General features: G+C 40.1%; 2 annotated features.

The window, feature by feature from the left end:
• Positions 16,178–16,679: an enhancer, noted in NCBI's record as "H3K4me1 hESC enhancer chr10:85324293-85324794 (GRCh37/hg19 assembly coordinates)". NCBI's record gives its function as "activates a minimal SCP1, AML or CMV promoter by ChIP-STARR-seq in naive H9 embryonic stem cells {active_cell/tissue: H9 hESC(naive)}" and the evidence as "EXISTENCE:reporter gene assay evidence [ECO:0000049][PMID:30033119]".
• Positions 16,680–17,179: an enhancer, noted in NCBI's record as "H3K4me1 hESC enhancer chr10:85324795-85325294 (GRCh37/hg19 assembly coordinates)". NCBI's record gives its function as "activates a minimal SCP1, AML or CMV promoter by ChIP-STARR-seq in naive H9 embryonic stem cells {active_cell/tissue: H9 hESC(naive)}" and the evidence as "EXISTENCE:reporter gene assay evidence [ECO:0000049][PMID:30033119]".

The following is a 17,653-nucleotide window of genomic DNA, read 5'->3' on the forward strand; positions in this document are numbered from 1 at the left end:
ACCGCATGTCCTTAAGGTTACTTTTATGCTTTTATCTTTTTGACCTTTTGATACAAGACAGGAATTTATCTTTAATATTTTTAAAGAATATTAAAAATCATTCTTTTAGTACTTCTCACCTTTCTTTCCTTCTTCTCTTCTCTTTTTAAACAGCTTTGTTGAGATATAATTCAAATGCCATACAATTCACCCATTTAAAATATATAATTGGGAGGTTAAAGTATACAATTGAGAGGTTTTTAGTATATCTGCAGATATGTGCAACAATCACCACATATCTGCAACCACCACCACTCAATTTTAGAACATTTTTATCACCTCAAAAAGAAACTTTGTACCCTTTAAATACAACCCCCCATCCCTCACTCCAACTTCCAGCCCTATGCAACCAAGTTAACTTTAATCCATCCCTATAGATTGCCTATTTTCAACATTATGTGAATAGAATCATATGATATGTGGCCTTTTGTGACTTTCTCCTTTCACATCATATAGTGCTTTTTACAGTTGATTCATGTTGTAGCATGCATCAGTATTAGATTTCATTAGCCAAATAATCCCATTATATAAATATATGATATTTTGTTTATCCATTTATCAGTTAATAAACATTTGGGCTGTTTCCATCTTTCAGCAATTATGAACAATGTTACTTTCAACATTTGGGTACATGTTTGTGTGTCAATGTATGTTTTCATTTATCTCAGGCATATACCTAGGAGTAAAATTGATATATTATATAACACCATGTTTGATAAATTGACTTTTTAATAGCTAGACTGTTTTCCAAAGTGGTTGCACCATTTTACATTCTGACCAGCAGCGTAAGAAGGTTCTGATTTCTCCACATCCTCACCAAAACTTTTTGTAATCTGACTTGTTCATTCCAGCTGTCCTAATGATTGTGAAGGAGTGTCTCGTTGTGATTTTGATTTGCTGTTCCTGAATGATGACTAATTAAAATGGGCATCTGTTTATGTGCTTATTTACCATTTCTTATTTCTTTTTGGAGAAACAGCTTTCTATTCAGATGCTTTGACCATTTTTAGCTGGGTTACTTGCTTTTTCATTACTGATTTGTAAGAGCTCATTATATATTTTGGATACAAGTCCATTATTAGATATCTGATTTGAAAAAAAATTCTCCAATTCTGTAGGTTTTATTTTTCAGTTTCTTGACAATATGCTTTGAAGGACTAAGTTTTTAATATTGATGAAGTTCAATTTATCTATTTTTGATGCTCATGTTTTTGGTGTCATATCTAAGAATCATTTACCAAATTCAATGTCATGTGTATTTAGCCCTGTTTTCTACTAATAGCTCTAGAGTTTTAGCTCCCACATTTAGTTCTTGATTGATTTTAGTTTTTGTATAGTATGCAAAGTAAGGGTCCATCTTCATTCTTTTTATTTTGCATGTGACTATCCCGTTGTCCCATTACTATGTTGAAAAGGCTAGTCTTTTCCAAATAATAGTCTTGCTGCCCTTGTTGAAAATCAATTGACCGTTCATATACGGATTTATTTTTGGACTCTCAATTCTATTCCACGTATCTATATGTCTATCTTTACACCAGTTAAAGATAGACATTTAATTTAATTATTTAAATTAAAATAGTACATCAGAATTTTTTCTTTCCTTTTCTTTTCTTTTTTTTTTTTTGAGGCTGAGTTTTGCTCTTGTTGCCCAGGCTGGAGTGCAATGGTGCAATCTCGGCTCACCACAACCTCTGCCCACTGGGTTCAAGCAATTTTCTTGCCTCAGCCTCCCAAGTAGTTGGGATTACAGGCATGTGCCACCACATCTGGCTAATTTTGTATTTTTAGTAGAGATGGGGTTTCTCCACGTTGGTCAGGCTGGTCTCAAACTCCCAACCTCAGGTGATTTGCCCACCTCGGCCTCCGAAAGTGCCAGAAAATATTTTCTTAATGCAAATACTTTCTTCGTGCATACTTTCTTGATTGTCATTGCTTAGTAGAAAGTTTTGAAATCAGAAAGCCTGAGTCCTCCCACATCATTCTTTTTTAGGATTGTTTTAGCTATTCCAGGTCCCTTGTCAAGTCCATTTGAATTTAAAATCACCTTTTAAATTTTTGCAAAGAAGTTAACTGGGATTCTGATAGTGATTATGTCAAAAGTTGTAGAATGTTTGGAAAAGTATTGCCATCTTAACAAGGTTAATTCTTCTAACCCATGTATTTTATTTAAATTTTTATTGACTTTTAAATAATGTTTTTGTATTATTTGATTATAAGTTTTGAACATCTTTTGTTAAATTTAATCTTAAATATTTTATTCATTTTGATACTATTGTGAATTAAATTGTTTTTCTAATTTCATTTTCAGATTGTGTCTTTCAGATGTATAGAAATACAATAGATAAATAATTCTGGCCATTAACCTTTTATGCTTCAACCTTGCTGAACACTTTTTTTTTCTTTTCTTTTTTTTTTTTTTTTTTTGAGACAGGGTTTCACTCTTATTGCCCAGGCTGGAGTGCAACGGCACAATCTCAGCTCACCACAACCTCCGCCTGCTGGGTTCAAGCAATTCTTCTGCCTCAGCCTGACAAGTAGCTGAGATTACAGGCATGCGCCACCACACCTAATTTTGTATTTTTAGTAGAGACAAGTTTTCTCCATGTTGGTCAGGCTGGTGTCGAACTCCTGACCTCAGGTAATCCGCCTGCCTGGGCCTTTCAAAGTGCTGGGATTATAAGCCACATTTTTAATTCTTAGTTTTTCAGTAGATTCTTGAAATTCTTAATATAGAAGATTATGTATTTTTGGTTTCTCTATTCCTCCTTTACTGGTTTATTTGCATTAAGAAAATATTTTCTGGCACTTTCAGAGGCCGAGGCAGGTGGATTACCTGAGGTTGGGAGTTTGAGACCAGCCTGACCAACATGGAGAAACCCCGTCTCTACTAAAAATACAAAATTAGCCAGACGTGGTGGTGTATGCCTGTAATCCCAGCTACTTGGGAGGCTGAGGCAAGAGAATAGCGTGAACCCAGGAGGCGGAAGTTGTGGTGAGCTGAGATTGCACAATTGTACTCCAGCCTGGGCAACAAAAGCAAAACTCAGTCTCAAAAAAAAAAAAAAAAAAGAAAGAAAGAAAAGAAAAAAACTCTGATGTACTATTTTAATTTAATTAATGATATTTGATATTTCCCCTCCAGTTTTTTAGTTCTTTTTTTAGTGGTTGCTCTAGGTTTTACCACATACATCTTATCAGAATCACCCTCATATTTGTAATAGCCCAATTCAAGTGTAATCTAATACTACTGTCTATTCCCTTTTCTACCTATGGTATTACTTTTATGTATATTACAGCTATTAATGTTGCAAACTCAACAATACATTGTTATAATTATTATTTTAGCATCTGCAGTCATTTCTTAGCTTATTGAAGTTTTGCTTTCACTTGTCCTCTTTGTGGTATTACTGGCAAATACCTTAACATAGATTACATTTTTATATGTTGGAAGCTAAACAATATTTATATACATGTTATTTTATACAATCGATTTTTAAATCAGTTAAGTGAAGAAAAGCATACATTTTTACTGTCTTTTATATTACATAATAACTTTTATCATTTTGTGTGTGTTTGTATTATAATTACCATCTGGGCTCCTTTGCTTTCAGTCTGAAGAACTTCCTCTAGTTTTTCTTGTAAGGTCTGCTAGAAATAAATTATTTCAGCTTTTGTTTATCTGGAAAAGAATTTTGCATTTCGCTTTCATTTCTGAAAGAGAGCTTTGCTGAATAGAGGATTATTCATGCACAGAATATTTCTTTGAACATTTTGAATATGTTATCCCACTGCTTTCTATTGTTTCTGCAGAGATGTCAGCTGTTAATCTTATTGAGGTTCCCGTGTAAGTGATGCATTTTCTCTTGCTACTTTCAAGATATTCTCCCTAGCTTTGACTTTCAGCATTTTTAGTACAATATGTCTATTTGTGGGTCTCTTTACATTTGTTCTACTTGGATTTTGTTGAGCTTCCTGGATGTGTAAGTTATTGTTGTATAATAAATTTGGGAATTTTTCAGCCATTATTTCTTTGAATATTTTTCTTCTCTTTTCTCTCTCTTCTTTCCTGGTACTCTCATTATGCATTTGTTGGTGCACTTAATTTTCTCTGACATTTCTCTGAGGTTTTTATTTCATTTTTCTTCACCATTTTTGTTCAATTGGCTTGGCTTACATAGTCTCTACGGACCTATCTTTAAATCAGTTAATTCTTTCTTTGGCCAGGCCAAATCTATTGTTGAGCCTCTCTAGTATTTTTTTTATTTCAGCAATTATACTTTTAAAGACAAGAATTTTCATTTTTAAAAATAATTTTCCTTTACTAATATTGTATTTGTTCATTCTTGCATTCTTATAAAGGACTACCTGAGACTGGGTAATTTATAAAGAAAAGAGGTTTAATGGGCTCATGGTTCCACAGGCTGTACAGGAAGCATGACTAGGGACACCTCAGGAAACTTACAATCATGGCAGAAGATGAAGAGGAAGCAGTCATGTCCTGCATGACTGGAGCAGGAGAAAGGGGTGAGGAGGTGACACACACTTTTAAACAACCAGATCTCATGAGACCTCACTCAATATCATGAGAAAAGCAAGGGGGACATCCGCTTACATGATCCAGTCATCTCTCACCTGGCCCCAGCTCCAACATCAGGGATTATAATTTGACATAAGCTTTGGGTGGGGACACAAATAAAAAGCACATCAGATATTTTCTCTTTGGTGTGATATTGTTATCCTAGCTTTCCTTATTTTTTATTAGGCTTTTTTTTAGTTCTCTGAATATATTATAATGGCTACTTAGAAATCTTTCTTTAAGTCCAATATCTTACTCTTTCACAGGCAGTTTCTGTTACTTACATTTTTCATATGTGTAAGTCATAATGTCTTGTTCCTTTGTATGCCTCATAATTTTTTAATTTACTTATTTATTTATTTATTTAACAAAACCATGGTTTAGGGCTTATGGAGGCTACAAGATTTACAACTTTCCCAATTGCTCCTACAGATAGCATCACTATTGTAAAACCTATGATTGGTGTTTGAGGTATTTTTCAGACCCTTAATTCTGATGCACAAGCTGGTGCCACTTGGAGCAGTAAACCATACCGAGAAACTGACTCACCTGATCTTGTGATGCCCCCAACCCAGGAACTGACTCAGCAGAATATGAGAGCTTTGACCCCTTATTATTTTATCCCTGACCTAGCCAATTAGCCTTCTCCATCCCCTAGTGCCCTGCCTGCCAAACTATACTTGAAAAACCCTCACCTCAGAATTCTCCAGGAGGCAGATTTGACAAATATTTCCTGTCCCTCTGCTTGGCTGACCCTGCCATTATTTAACTCTTTCTTTGCTACAAAACCTTCTGCTCTCAGTGCATTGGCTTTCCTGGGCAGTAGACAAGAAGAGTCTATTGAGTTGTTACAAACCTATGGCTTTAGTTGTTACCTATGTGCTGATGAATCACAACTTTTTATTTCCAGATCAGACCTTTCCTTTGATCTCCAGACCCAAATATTTAACTGTTTGTCTCATCACTTCCAATTCAACATGATCAAGTCCTAACTCGTGACCTTGCTTCTACTCCCCCCAATAAATATCTAGACCTTGGAAAGTCTTTCTACTGCAGTGAATAGTTTCTTTGTAAGTATGCAATTCTTACCTCCTATTCCCTCAGTCCTTCACTATGTTTAAAATCAAGTTCTACTTATTTTATCTCAGCTGTGAATATCTCAAATGTATTCACTTCTCTACATTTTTTTCCTGCCACTCTGGAGTGTTACATCTTCCCTGTACAATAGCCATTGTGTTAGTTTGCTAGGGCTGCTATAGCAAAATACTACAGACTAGATGGCCTAAACAAGAGAGATTTATTTTCTCACAGTTCTGAAGGCTAGAAGTCCAACATCAAGGTGTTGGTAGGCTTAGTTTCCTCTGAAGCTTCTCTCCTTGGCTTGGAGGTGGCGCTCTTCTCTCTGTAACCTCACATGGTCATCCCTAGTGTCTCACATGCATTCCTAATGTCTTGTCTTGTTTCCAAATTTGCCATTCTTATAAATATCCAAGTCAAATTGAATTAGACCCTATCCTAACAAGCTCATTTTAACTTACTGCTTTAGAAGTCCTGTCTCCAAATACAGTCACATTCTGAGGTACTGGGGGTTAGGGCTTCAACATATCAATTTTGAGGGGACACAGTTCAGCCCATAACAGCTAGCTAGCCCATGTCCCACTCTATTCCACCTGTCAACCCACCTCCACCAGTCTGTACTCCAAGTTGTAGTCAGGGTGATCTTTAAGGAAATGGAAATTTAATGAACAATGGATGCACATAGAGCCTTTCCATGGTTTCTATTTACCTTAGGATCAAAATATAACCCTCAGCGAGACTTACAAATGTGCCAGTATAGCAGTACCATTCTTAATATAGTCAACTCTGAAGTTTGACTGTTAGATTAAAATCCTGGTTTACCTATTGACCAGTCCTTAACTTGATAAGTTAGTTATTTGTCTTAGCTTAAATTTTTCATCTAAAAAGCAAAGTTTTTCTTTTATTGTATGTTAATATTATTTTTGAAAATTTCTTGGCACTGGTTAAATAACATAATCCGTGTAAGGTGCTTAGCACAGAGTAAAAGTTTTAAAACAGTCATTTATTATTATTTAGTTCTATATGTACTTGCTTATATTTTTATCTTATATCTTTTTCCTCTTTATTTCTGCCATTCTACCATATTCACCTTATTTTAATTCTTAGAAAGATATGCCAGAATACATTATTTTTGCTTATTTCAGAATGTCATGTAAATGGAATCATATGGCATATAACCTTTCGAGACTGGGTTCTTTCATTTAGCATAATGCATTTAAGATTCAGCCAAGTTGTCACATGTATAAATAGTTTGTTCATTTGCATATCTGGGTAGTATGTCATTGTCATTTGTACCACAGTTTGTTTATTCATTTACCCACTGAAGGCCATTTGGTGTGTTTTCAGTTTCTGGTGATTATACATAATATTACTAAAAGCATCTGTGTACAGGGTTTTGTGTGAGCAGAAGCTTTTATTGCTCTAGTATAATTACCTAGAATTAGGACTGCTGGGTCATATGGTAGGTATGGATGTAACTATGTGGGAAACTGCCAAACTTTTCTGAACTGACTACTATACCATTTTTTACTCCCACCAGCAAGGTATTTTTTCAAGTCATTCTAATATGTGTAATGGTATCTCACTGTGGTTTAAATTTGAATTTCCCTAATGACTAATGTTGAGCATATGACATTCATTTGCCATCTATAACTTCTTTGGTGAATCGTCTATCCAAATATTTTGACATTTTTATTGGGTCCCTTTTATTGTGGAGATTTTATAATTCTTTATATATTTTGATATATGTTGCAGGTATTTTTTTCCCAATTTGTGGCTTATTTTCTAACAGGGTCTTTAAAAGAGCAAAGGTTTTTAGTTTTGATGATTTTGATTCCATTTTATCATTTTTAAAAATCAATCATTATTTTGGTGTTGTCTCTAAGAGCTCTTTGCCTACCCAAGGTCATGAGGCTTTCCTGCTATGTTTTTCTCTAAGGGTCCAATTATGTTTTAATCTTAATTATTCATTACTCTTCAGGTCATATGTCACTCTCTCAAGGAAGCCCTCTCTGACTACACAGACAAGATGAGATTCCTGTGTTATACATCTTTAGAGTGTTTTTTACATTTCCTCCACATATATCCTAGTCTATAATTATACATGTTGTATGATTATTTGCTGTTGTATGGTAGACAACAGTGTCTACCAACACTGTTGACTATAGCTTCTTGGGGTCTGTTTCTGCTTACTATTATATCCTTAAGTATAGCACAGCTTATTTCACAGGAACTGAATGAATGCATGAAAAGAAGAATAAGCACATGTGTAGGTTGCACTATATACCATAGAGGACCGTATGGAAAGAAAGCTAGTGTTGCTGTCTCAAGTCCCTTGGCTACTCGAGCCCAAAAATTTCAGAGCCCAACAATATCAGAGCCCAACAATTTCAGAGCCCAACAATATCAGAAAGGAATGAGGTCAAACTGAAGTTTTTATCACATTTTTGCTCTAGGGCCCATTCTGGAGGATAAAACATGACAAAACCACAGAAGAAATGGGAGAAAGCTAACTTTTTTTAGAGCCTAATATGTCTCAGTCACTTCATGTGGGAAAAAAAAGCTGAGACTCAAGGGAGTTGGCCTTGACATTGACCAAGGTCACTATTCCAATAAATTGAGAAACTGGGACACAGCCTGAAACATCAATCTAATCCAAACTCAATACTTTCTTCTTATTCTGTGCTGCTTCTCCCTACCCCACCCCAGCCAATAAAGACATTTGGTTAATATATGCTTAACAGTTATCTTTCAAAAGCCTATGTTATCAGAATATACCAATCTAAAGGCCTATTAGATCCATCTCAAGAGGGCTGTGGATCATTATTTTTTCCTTTTAGATGTTCCTTGAAAAAATATATATATATATATATTTTTTTTTAGACAGAGTCTTACTCTGTCAGCCAGGCTGGAGTGCAGTGGCACAATCTCAGCTCACTGGAACCTCCGCCTCCCGGGCTCAAGCAATTCTCCTGCATCAGCCTCCCGAGTAGCTGGGATTACAGGCGTGTACCACCACGCTCAGCTAATTTTTGTATTTTTAGTAGAGATGGGATTTTACCATGTCAGTCAGGATGGTCTCGAACTCCTGGCCTCAGGTAATCCACCTGCCTAGGCCTCCCAAAGTGCTGGGATTACAGGCGTGAGCCACCACTTCTGGCCCAAAAAGATAAAATATCTTAATAGAAAGGGTATAATTTTCTATTGCCATACCTTCTAGGCTGTATGCTTCCATAGTCAATCTGAGTTATCTAATGATGGAAATATCTTGGAGTCATGGCAGAAGGTAAGACTGTGGAAAAGCTGCTTCAAATGATGAGAACATGTACAAACTCTTAAACCTTATATAAACTATTGAATCTTATATAAATTTGTTAAAATGTAATACCCACTTCATAGGATGATTGTGTGGAATAAGGTTATGAGGCACGTAAAGAAAAAGCATTAATGCATCACACATACAGAGCTAAGCAAATGAAAGTTTTCTTTACCCTTTCCTCAGGACAAAAGGGGCTAATTTTACTGATAAAACGGCTGTAAGAAAGGCTCACAGGATGGATAAATGAAGGACTGACTTGCTAGTCCCTCAGCCAATTTCTAACACATCATTGAGAATTTCTGCTAAGAAGCCTCACTTGTTACCATGAGGCTATAGCAAGTCCAGCAATGAGAAGGAAGCTTCCTTCTAAGGTTGAAAAGACATTATTGCTCAGGAGTCTTCAGGCCATTTCAGTGTTCCAAGCCCAAGTCTTATTTATATCCTAGGGAAGGGTAGAGACCATAGGTGTTTCTAGGTATGGTTTTCCAGGCAGGAGGTTCAAACACCAACTCAACCATGGCTCAGTTCTGTTCAGGGTCAAGTCCTCTTGAGAGGGAAAGATACACAAGTTCTCCATATTGTCTGCTTTGCAAACACTTAATGCTTGGGGGTACTATCTACAGTCTGGCATAAGCATTCTAAGCCAGTGCTTCTCAAACATTAGGTACACAAGAATTATCTGAGAATATTGTTAACAAGCAGATTCTTATTCAGACCAAGTCTGCATTTTTAACAAGCTCCTTGGATCACCCTTTGCATATCAAATCTCTAAGCCACTGATTCTTAAAGTTTAGTGAGCATCACAATCACTTGTAGGTTGTTAAAACAGATTGTTGGGCCCCATTCTCTGAGTATGTAATTCAATTGGTTTCAGACAGAGCCCCTGGATGTGCATTTCTAATGAGTTCTCAGTTAAGGCTGATATTGTTCTTTTAGAACCACTGCACTAAACCAGACACAAAAAGACCATCATAATGCATAATTTATTCATATGATTCACCTGAACTAATGTGCCTACACCTGTGCATTTTTCTGTCTTCCTGTGACCACTCTGCTTCTAATTCTACAATTTTTCTTACATCACCCTTGTCTTCTCTCTTCCACTTTAGTGCCTCAATTTTCTGACTACTTCAACTTCTAACTGAGAACTTCGTCTCCCTTGCCCAAAACCTACAATGTGGGAGGGACTGCAGAGAACATGGATACTAAATGGTGTGTTTCACTGGAAGACCATCTTTGCAAACTAGATACCATGTCGCTCCTCTGTCCTAACGAACTAGACTAGACAATATAATTCAATGAAGACACATCTCAAGAGAGAGTACCATCATATAGTCCTGAAGTTAAAGGTAGAAAGAACACCTAGAAAAAGAAAGAGTAGGCCAATTCCATCCTACCACCCACCAAGGGCCTTTGTTCCATCCCAATTTTTTAACATTGTTTTCTTCATTTTGTCAGTGATCACTGAGAGGCAAGATGGAGTGGGGTCAAACAACATATGTCCATTTATTGAATAAAAGTAAAAGTTGTTATTTTCCTTTAACCTGTCCCCCATCCACTGACCCCAGAAGGCTCCTCAAGTGCAGCCTACAACTTGCTCTGAAATTCCCAGACCTGTCACTGCAGCACCATATGGCTACTGGTAACTATTGAGGGAAGTGACAGACATTTCTACTCGAAGCCTTTAATGTGGAACCCCTCTGTTCTGTCAAATCTGTCTGCCCTTAACCTTTCAGTGAAAAGCATGTAGCTCTGTTGACAAGCACCTCCTGTAGAAGAAAAACTAAATTTACTCCTACTGCTCCAACTTCTACACTGTGGGTGCCCCATCCCTGAGGCCTCAGGATACAAAATTGGGTGCCATTTCAGGCATATATGCAGGTAGGCTTCTCTCAAATTGTGTGTACAAACTCAACTGGAGGAGGAATTCTCCGTATCAGAGAAGTATTTCAAAGTGCAATAATATTTAGCTCCCTGATTCCTCTTAACAATCTTAATTATTCTGCTCCCTGGAGAGTCAAACAGAGTTGGTAATTATAGAAAAGAAAGTGATAAAGATCAACAATTCATTTCCCCCCAAAACATTCTCAGACTAGCTGATTAAATCTTTACTAGGATCTCAGGCTTACAGTACCATAATACCAATCTTGAAGGGATTATATATTAATAAAACATATGTTAGTAATTCTATAAATAATTAACATTTTGAAATAAGTGACAAACCCCTATATTTCACCTTCTGTGTACCAAGCAGTGTTTTAAATGCCTAATGTATTATAATTATTTTAATTCTCAGAATTTAATAAATTTGTCACTATTATTAGTTCTATTTTGTAGAAAGATTAAGTACCTCACCAGGATCACACAACTATTGAGTGCTACAGGCAGTATTTAAACTCAGCCTCTCTGATTTATTATCTTGTGTATTTTACATCTCCCAAATCACATGCATGTCTTCTACCTGCTTTAGGAGGCAGCGAGTATTTTTACATTTTGCAGGTAAGGAAGGAAAGATTGGGAGAAGCTATATGATATCTCAGAGTTTTGTGCAGAACATTTCTGGAGTTAATTCAAGGCCTCTCCTTATACAACCACTTTAAGGGCACCTGGAGTTTTTAAATGCATGCCACCATCTCCTCTCTGGCACAGAACAGAAGTCATTTCCCAAACGTAGTTTTGTGTCCTTCTTACCCGCTCCCATCACCCTAACATTTGCCTCTCCAGTTGTAATTTTTGGTTTATTCATCTGTCTCCCACACTAGCTTGTAAATTCCTCTGGGGTAAGAGGTAATTTTCTCTTTCCCCCATCTTAAAGTGGTTTTCCTGGGTTGTAAACTGTATTAGAAAAGATTGCATTTTCAGCAACTAAGTCTAGTGGAGACAGTGGAACTCTAGGGTCAGCTGAATCTGGGTGAAATTGTAACTTTTGCAATTTGATATTTCAGTGGTTTGGACTAGAGCCAGACAGGTTATTTTTCCAAATAGGCCACGTCCAGGTAGTTCCTGATATTTTAAGCATCATGATGAGAGTGTCAAGTAATATGTTACATCCTAGACTTAAAAATCTCAATAACTGCAGAGCAGATGTGAACTTTTTCTTTCCTCACACTTCCAGGCTCAAGAGCATGGATGCCAAATCTATACTCTCTGGTTGAAATGGAAATGTGTGGGGATTGGCCTAAGTTTAATTAATGAAAACAGCACAAAAAGAACATGTAAATATTTACGACAACTAAAATTGTAAAGTGTGGTTTAGAGTTGGGGATAGGCTGGCTTTCAGTGAGGTCAGATGGTGGAAGAGAAGCCCAGAGAGGAGAGGCAAGGGCCACTCACACTGTCTCTCCCTTCTCTGGATCTTCCTTCCTCTTGGGTCACCATCTTTACACTCAAAACACAGAGACTGCAGAAGTCACCGTGTGCAGTGATTAAGCATGATTAATTCCACATCTTATTCACTGGACTGTAGAAAATGTTGCGCATTTAAGTCTGGCTCAACATGTCACCACTTAATACAAGTCAATTCTTCCTTCACAGTTGAGTCACAGAGTAAAAGACTTGTGAGCACAGGACAAATTAACAGAAAAAAAAAAGATTTATGATTTTTAATGGTGAAAAGAAAGATAAGAGCTCATTGAGGCAAGTGGAAAAGAGACAGCTGTAGGCAGCTGTGGGCATCCTGCCAGTTCCAAGACCAGAAGAAAACTGTTCCAGAGAAGGGTCTGCCAGACCAACAGTGAAAGCCAGGGATGGCACCATTGACAATGTGTGCAGATCACTCTTCTACTCTCCACAGTTGTACTCCTTAAGTTCAGTATGTTGACATTTGACCAGCCTCATCTGTCTCACATCTCTAAAACACACACACACACAGGTGTGAGCCTTCAGCTTGATGGAGGAAGACAGAGAGCAACTGAAGTTTATTTGACACAAGTAGAAGAGATTGAGCCTCTCTTCAGCAGAGTAAGGTCCATTTATGGGGAACTGTGGTGACCTGCTGCTTGTAGAAGTTTTCCCTTAATTGCTGAGATCCTGGGTCTTCTACTGGAAGATAATGAATGGGTTTGTGGCCCAACATTTGTCTCCAGTTAAGCCTTGGGTAGACGACAAGGGTAACCTAAAAGCAAGGTTGATTCTTGCTTGTGTACACAGGAAGCACAGTTGCTCTGACCAAAGGTAGTGGCAAAAATGTCTCCACACATAGGTATTTTTCTCAGTGGTGCTGGCTCCTCCAAAGTCAAAGAGGGTACATTGGGTGGGTGAGCTCCCGATGTTCTGACCTAGGTGAGACTAGAAGAATCCCCTAAAACTGTAGGGCATTTTCTCCTATGACTGCAACAGATGTGCTCTGGCCATAAGCTCTCCACATGCTCTGAATGTTGCCGGGAACAGTAGTATCTCCCAGCACAGGTGTGGTGCTGACTGTTCCTATTCACTACCTGTGCTCTGGATAGGTGAGCCCCGGGTGCTCTAAGTGTACGCAAGAATAGTGGTACCTTCAAGCATAGGTACACTGTCAGATATGTTCTACTCAGGCATTAGCCAGGGATCCCCAGGTATTCCAACAAAAAGTGGGAAGATAAGTATTTCCAAATACCGGTATGGTGGTGTCCCTTCTAGCTGTAGATGTGCTCTGATCACAAATGTCCCCAGTGATCTGCGACAAGGAGAAACAGCATTGTCTCCTCTGGCACCTGTTTTTTCTTAGTGTTATTGTCTTCTCCCATAGTAACTGGTATGCTTTGAATGATAGGGAAGGGGCTTCTGACCATAAGCAGGAAGAAAACGGTCCCCCAGGGCAGATTTGCTTTCTGTAGAGTTGGCCTTTCCAGCTGTAACAGGGGATAGAACATGATGCTCAAGTTAAGACTCATCAACAAGAGTAGTAGTGCTGGGTGTCCTCCTCAGTCCTCAAGCAAGCTGAGTGCTCCAGATGCAGAGCTGGAGCATGAGGCAGCCACGCTTACCCCAAAGCTGCCACTACCCACAGGGGATATGGATCCTGTAAAAGTAAATGGGTCTGCAGTGGTGTTGGCTAAAGGCGACTGCTAGGCATCCTGATTAGACTCTAGAGCTAGAAGTAGTAACTAAGCCAATGGGGAAAATATCTGGGATGTCATCAAATGCCAGCTAGGTAATGTCAGGGATGCCAAAGGTGGAATATTGGGAAGGCAAACCCTCAGATGGAGTTATGTGACCAGTAGGGGGCTGTGCTGCAAGGAGGTTAAGTCTGAAGCTTTTGTTGAGAAAGAGCCATCACAGCTGGTGGCTTCAGGCTGCAACTTACTAGGGAACCCAACTCTGGACTGAGAGGTGGCTCCTGGAGCAAAGGAAAAGCTAAAACTTGCAGCTGAGCCACTGACTGACTGTACAGGCAGCGGGTGGGTGCTAAGGCGGAAGTAATGCTGATACTGGGTGGAATGTTCTCAGAACAAGGAAGCACCATGGAAAACGGAAAGAAGCTCTCACTGAAGACTGCAGAAGATATGATGGGAAAAGGGAAATCTGGGGAGGGGGCATGGTATGTATATCAGTTCCATCAGCATCAAAGGCAGGCTTGGATGTAGAATCTACAGAGGTGCTGACTACTGGAGTGGAGGCTTCTGGAAAGCTGTGCTAGGTAGGCCAGTACAGATAGGGTCACTGGGGAGAATGACTCCTGACTAGCCCCCATCAGGGAACCCAAATATGGGCTGAAGGGTGACTCCTGCGCCAAAGAAAAGGCTGAAAGTTGGGGTGGGGCTGTTGACCATGAATGCATATAAGCTGGGGATATCTGCTCCACATTACAAATGACCTGGTCAAATGGGAGGGAGCCCAAGTTCATCCCAGAGCCTGAAGGAGACCCGAAGAAGCAGCTTAGCGGGGAATGGCGTTCATGCTAGTCACACCAATGTCCAAAGCTGACTGGTGGGTCAAATTTGCAGATGCGCTGGCTGCAGGGGTAGAAGTGACTGGGAAAGCAGAGATGGAATGGCTGGTAAAGTAGGGGATACTGGCAGAAGTCTGGTGGAGGGGTCTGCATGAGTAAGGTGGAGAATCCACACACATAGGTGTAGGTGACTCTTTGCTGTCAAAGACTTGAAGGAAGGGTTGAGGTGCTAGAAGGTACAGGGAAGTCAAAATCAGAAGACCCAGCATGTATAACTGGAAAGATATGAATGCAAAGGGCTTCGATGCTTGTTCCTAAGTGAATTTCCCAAATATGGGCTTGAACTTAAAGAAAGAGATCCACGGGGAGAACAAGAGAAGGAAAGTTAGGAATTGTGCATTTTATTACACAATCGATATCTGGTGTGGGGGTAGGTAGAGAGGCAGACAGGATTGGGGCCTGGCAAGCAGGTCAGGCAAGTCAGTAATTGAGAATGTGCCTACAGCTGGAATCTGCAAATGAAAGTGGCTGAGGGCAGGGAGTGTGCAGTCTCTTCTGAAGACAGAGAGAAAGCACAGGGGGTCTGAGTGGCACTGTAGTCCAAGATGGACTGTTTTATCCTCCAAGGGGATAATTTTCCATTGGTACTCAGCTTTCTTCTCGAAGCTCAGGTGCCAGCAACAATTATACAAAAACACTTACGGCAAAGGAGCAGTGGCAGACAGCAGCAGCCCGGGCAGCATTAACAGCCTTGACATTTTCCATTTACAAGGCCTTCAACTCAAGATGTGGGTGGAGAATTCTTCCTTGATGGAGTCTTTGTTTAGGGTTTCAATTTCTTCCTGGTTCAAACTTGGGAGGTTTTATGTTTCCAGGAATTTATCCATTTCTTCTAGGTTTTCTAGTTTGTATGCATAGAGATCTTCATAATCATCTCTGAGGGTTTTTACCTTGACCGTGTCTTTGGAAGCTTTTTCTCTGCATCTTCTTCCCTGGCTCAGCAAGGCTGGGGAGCTGGACCCATGGCCGCTTCTAGCACTTCCTGTGCCCATCTCTTGAGCAGCAGGCAGCACGATGCCATAGGCAGAGAGCCCTGCTGCACCTGGATCACTCTGCAAATGCGCAGAACACCACCAGCAGGGCTGTATGAGCTGGTGATGGGGCCGCCTTTGGTGAAGGAGCTCCTGGGTCCACAGTCTTCATCCAGCACTCCTTTCTTACCAACGCCGTCTTCTGGGAATTTGGAATTGAGATTTCCCGTCAGAGGCTCAAAATTACGCTGAAGAAAGTGAGGACTCCGGTGGTGTCCAGAGGCCTAAATGATAATGGTACACTCCCACTGTATGTGGGACCGCTTCTCTTACCGTCCTCCTGTTTTGCTAGGCCTTCCTGGCACTCTCCTAGGGCTCTCAGCTCATTTTTGAATGGTCAAAAATGTGTGGGTGGGGGATCCTGGATGGCAGTTCACCAGGCAAAGACAGTCAAGTCCATTCGTGCCCTGGAGGAGGAATCTTGATTGTTTCTGAGTGGCAAAGAATCTTGTTGCCAACAAACAGCGCTGGCTTCTTGTGAGAGAGGCGCCAAGACACCAAAGGAAGGCTCCGCGGAGAGGAGCACTGAGCCTGCTGCATGGGACACTGCTCTCAGGGGTGAAGCCAAACCTAGAACCTGTAGACTCAGGACCCTGGTTTAACAGTTGGTGAACGGGCCGAGGGCAGGCTCGGCTCAGGGCAGCGGGGTGATGCGGGCCAGACCGCGGAACACAGCAAGCAAGGAGAAGGCACGGCAGAGGCGCAGCTTACTGGGGAGGTCACAAGAGCAGTTTGCGCCTTCCGCGGCTCTCGGAGTGCTGAGGGAAACTCGCAGAGGTATCCCAGCTGCCCTCTCCTCCTCCGAGGCCAGCATGCACTGTCTGTCGCATGCTTGTGACGCACCACTGGACGCATGACATAGAGCGCGCCAGCAAAGGGCACGAAGAAAATGCGCCAAGGGTCAAAGGCACGGGCGAGGCCCAGCCCTGGGCCTGTGGAGCCCTCATCAAGCAGGTCCCTCAGACTCCTGCCTGCCGCCGCCAATCAGGCAACACCAGCCTTCCTTTTGGATGATGGAAACAGTTCTATCTTATTTAAGTTGGTGCTTACGTTTGTTAGAACTTGCCGAACTGAGGATCGCTTGAGCCTGGGAATTTGAGGCTGCAATGAGGTATGAACACGCAGGTGAATTGCCATTGCACTCCAGCCTGGTAGGTATAGTGAGACCCTGTCTCAACAAACAAAAAACGTACCGACTGTATACAGCAAATGGGTGCCTTTATTTTATGTAAAATTTACCATTAAAGGGTTAATTTGAAAAACATTTGATGCAGGAGATGCAGCCTATCATTTCAAAATCATTGGTTTATGGGTAGATTTGTTACACAGATGAAACTGACAAAAATACAGCAAACAAGGGTAAAGCCTGTTGATAACTGTTCTGGGTTTATAAGACATTTTAGAAGATTCAGTCAGAAAAGATTAATGCCCATGTAGTGGCATGGCAGGCAATGGGAAGAGAGGATAGCTAGGCAAGACAAGGAAAACAACACAGCAAGTGGAAGAGGTTTTGTGAACATATACACCAAGGTGGCTGGCCCTTCTCAGAGCATCCACTCCTACATCCACGGAGAAGGCTATGGAGAATAACATCCCAACTCCTGATACACATGCTTAGACGGAGGGGTCCTGACTCAGGCTAGATTAATCTAATTTCTTTCTAGATTGAGCTAATCAGCACA

This window comes from Homo sapiens, chromosome 10, assembly GCF_000001405.40.
Source record: "Homo sapiens chromosome 10, GRCh38.p14 Primary Assembly".
NCBI classification, from domain to species: Eukaryota; Metazoa; Chordata; class Mammalia; order Primates; family Hominidae; genus Homo; species Homo sapiens.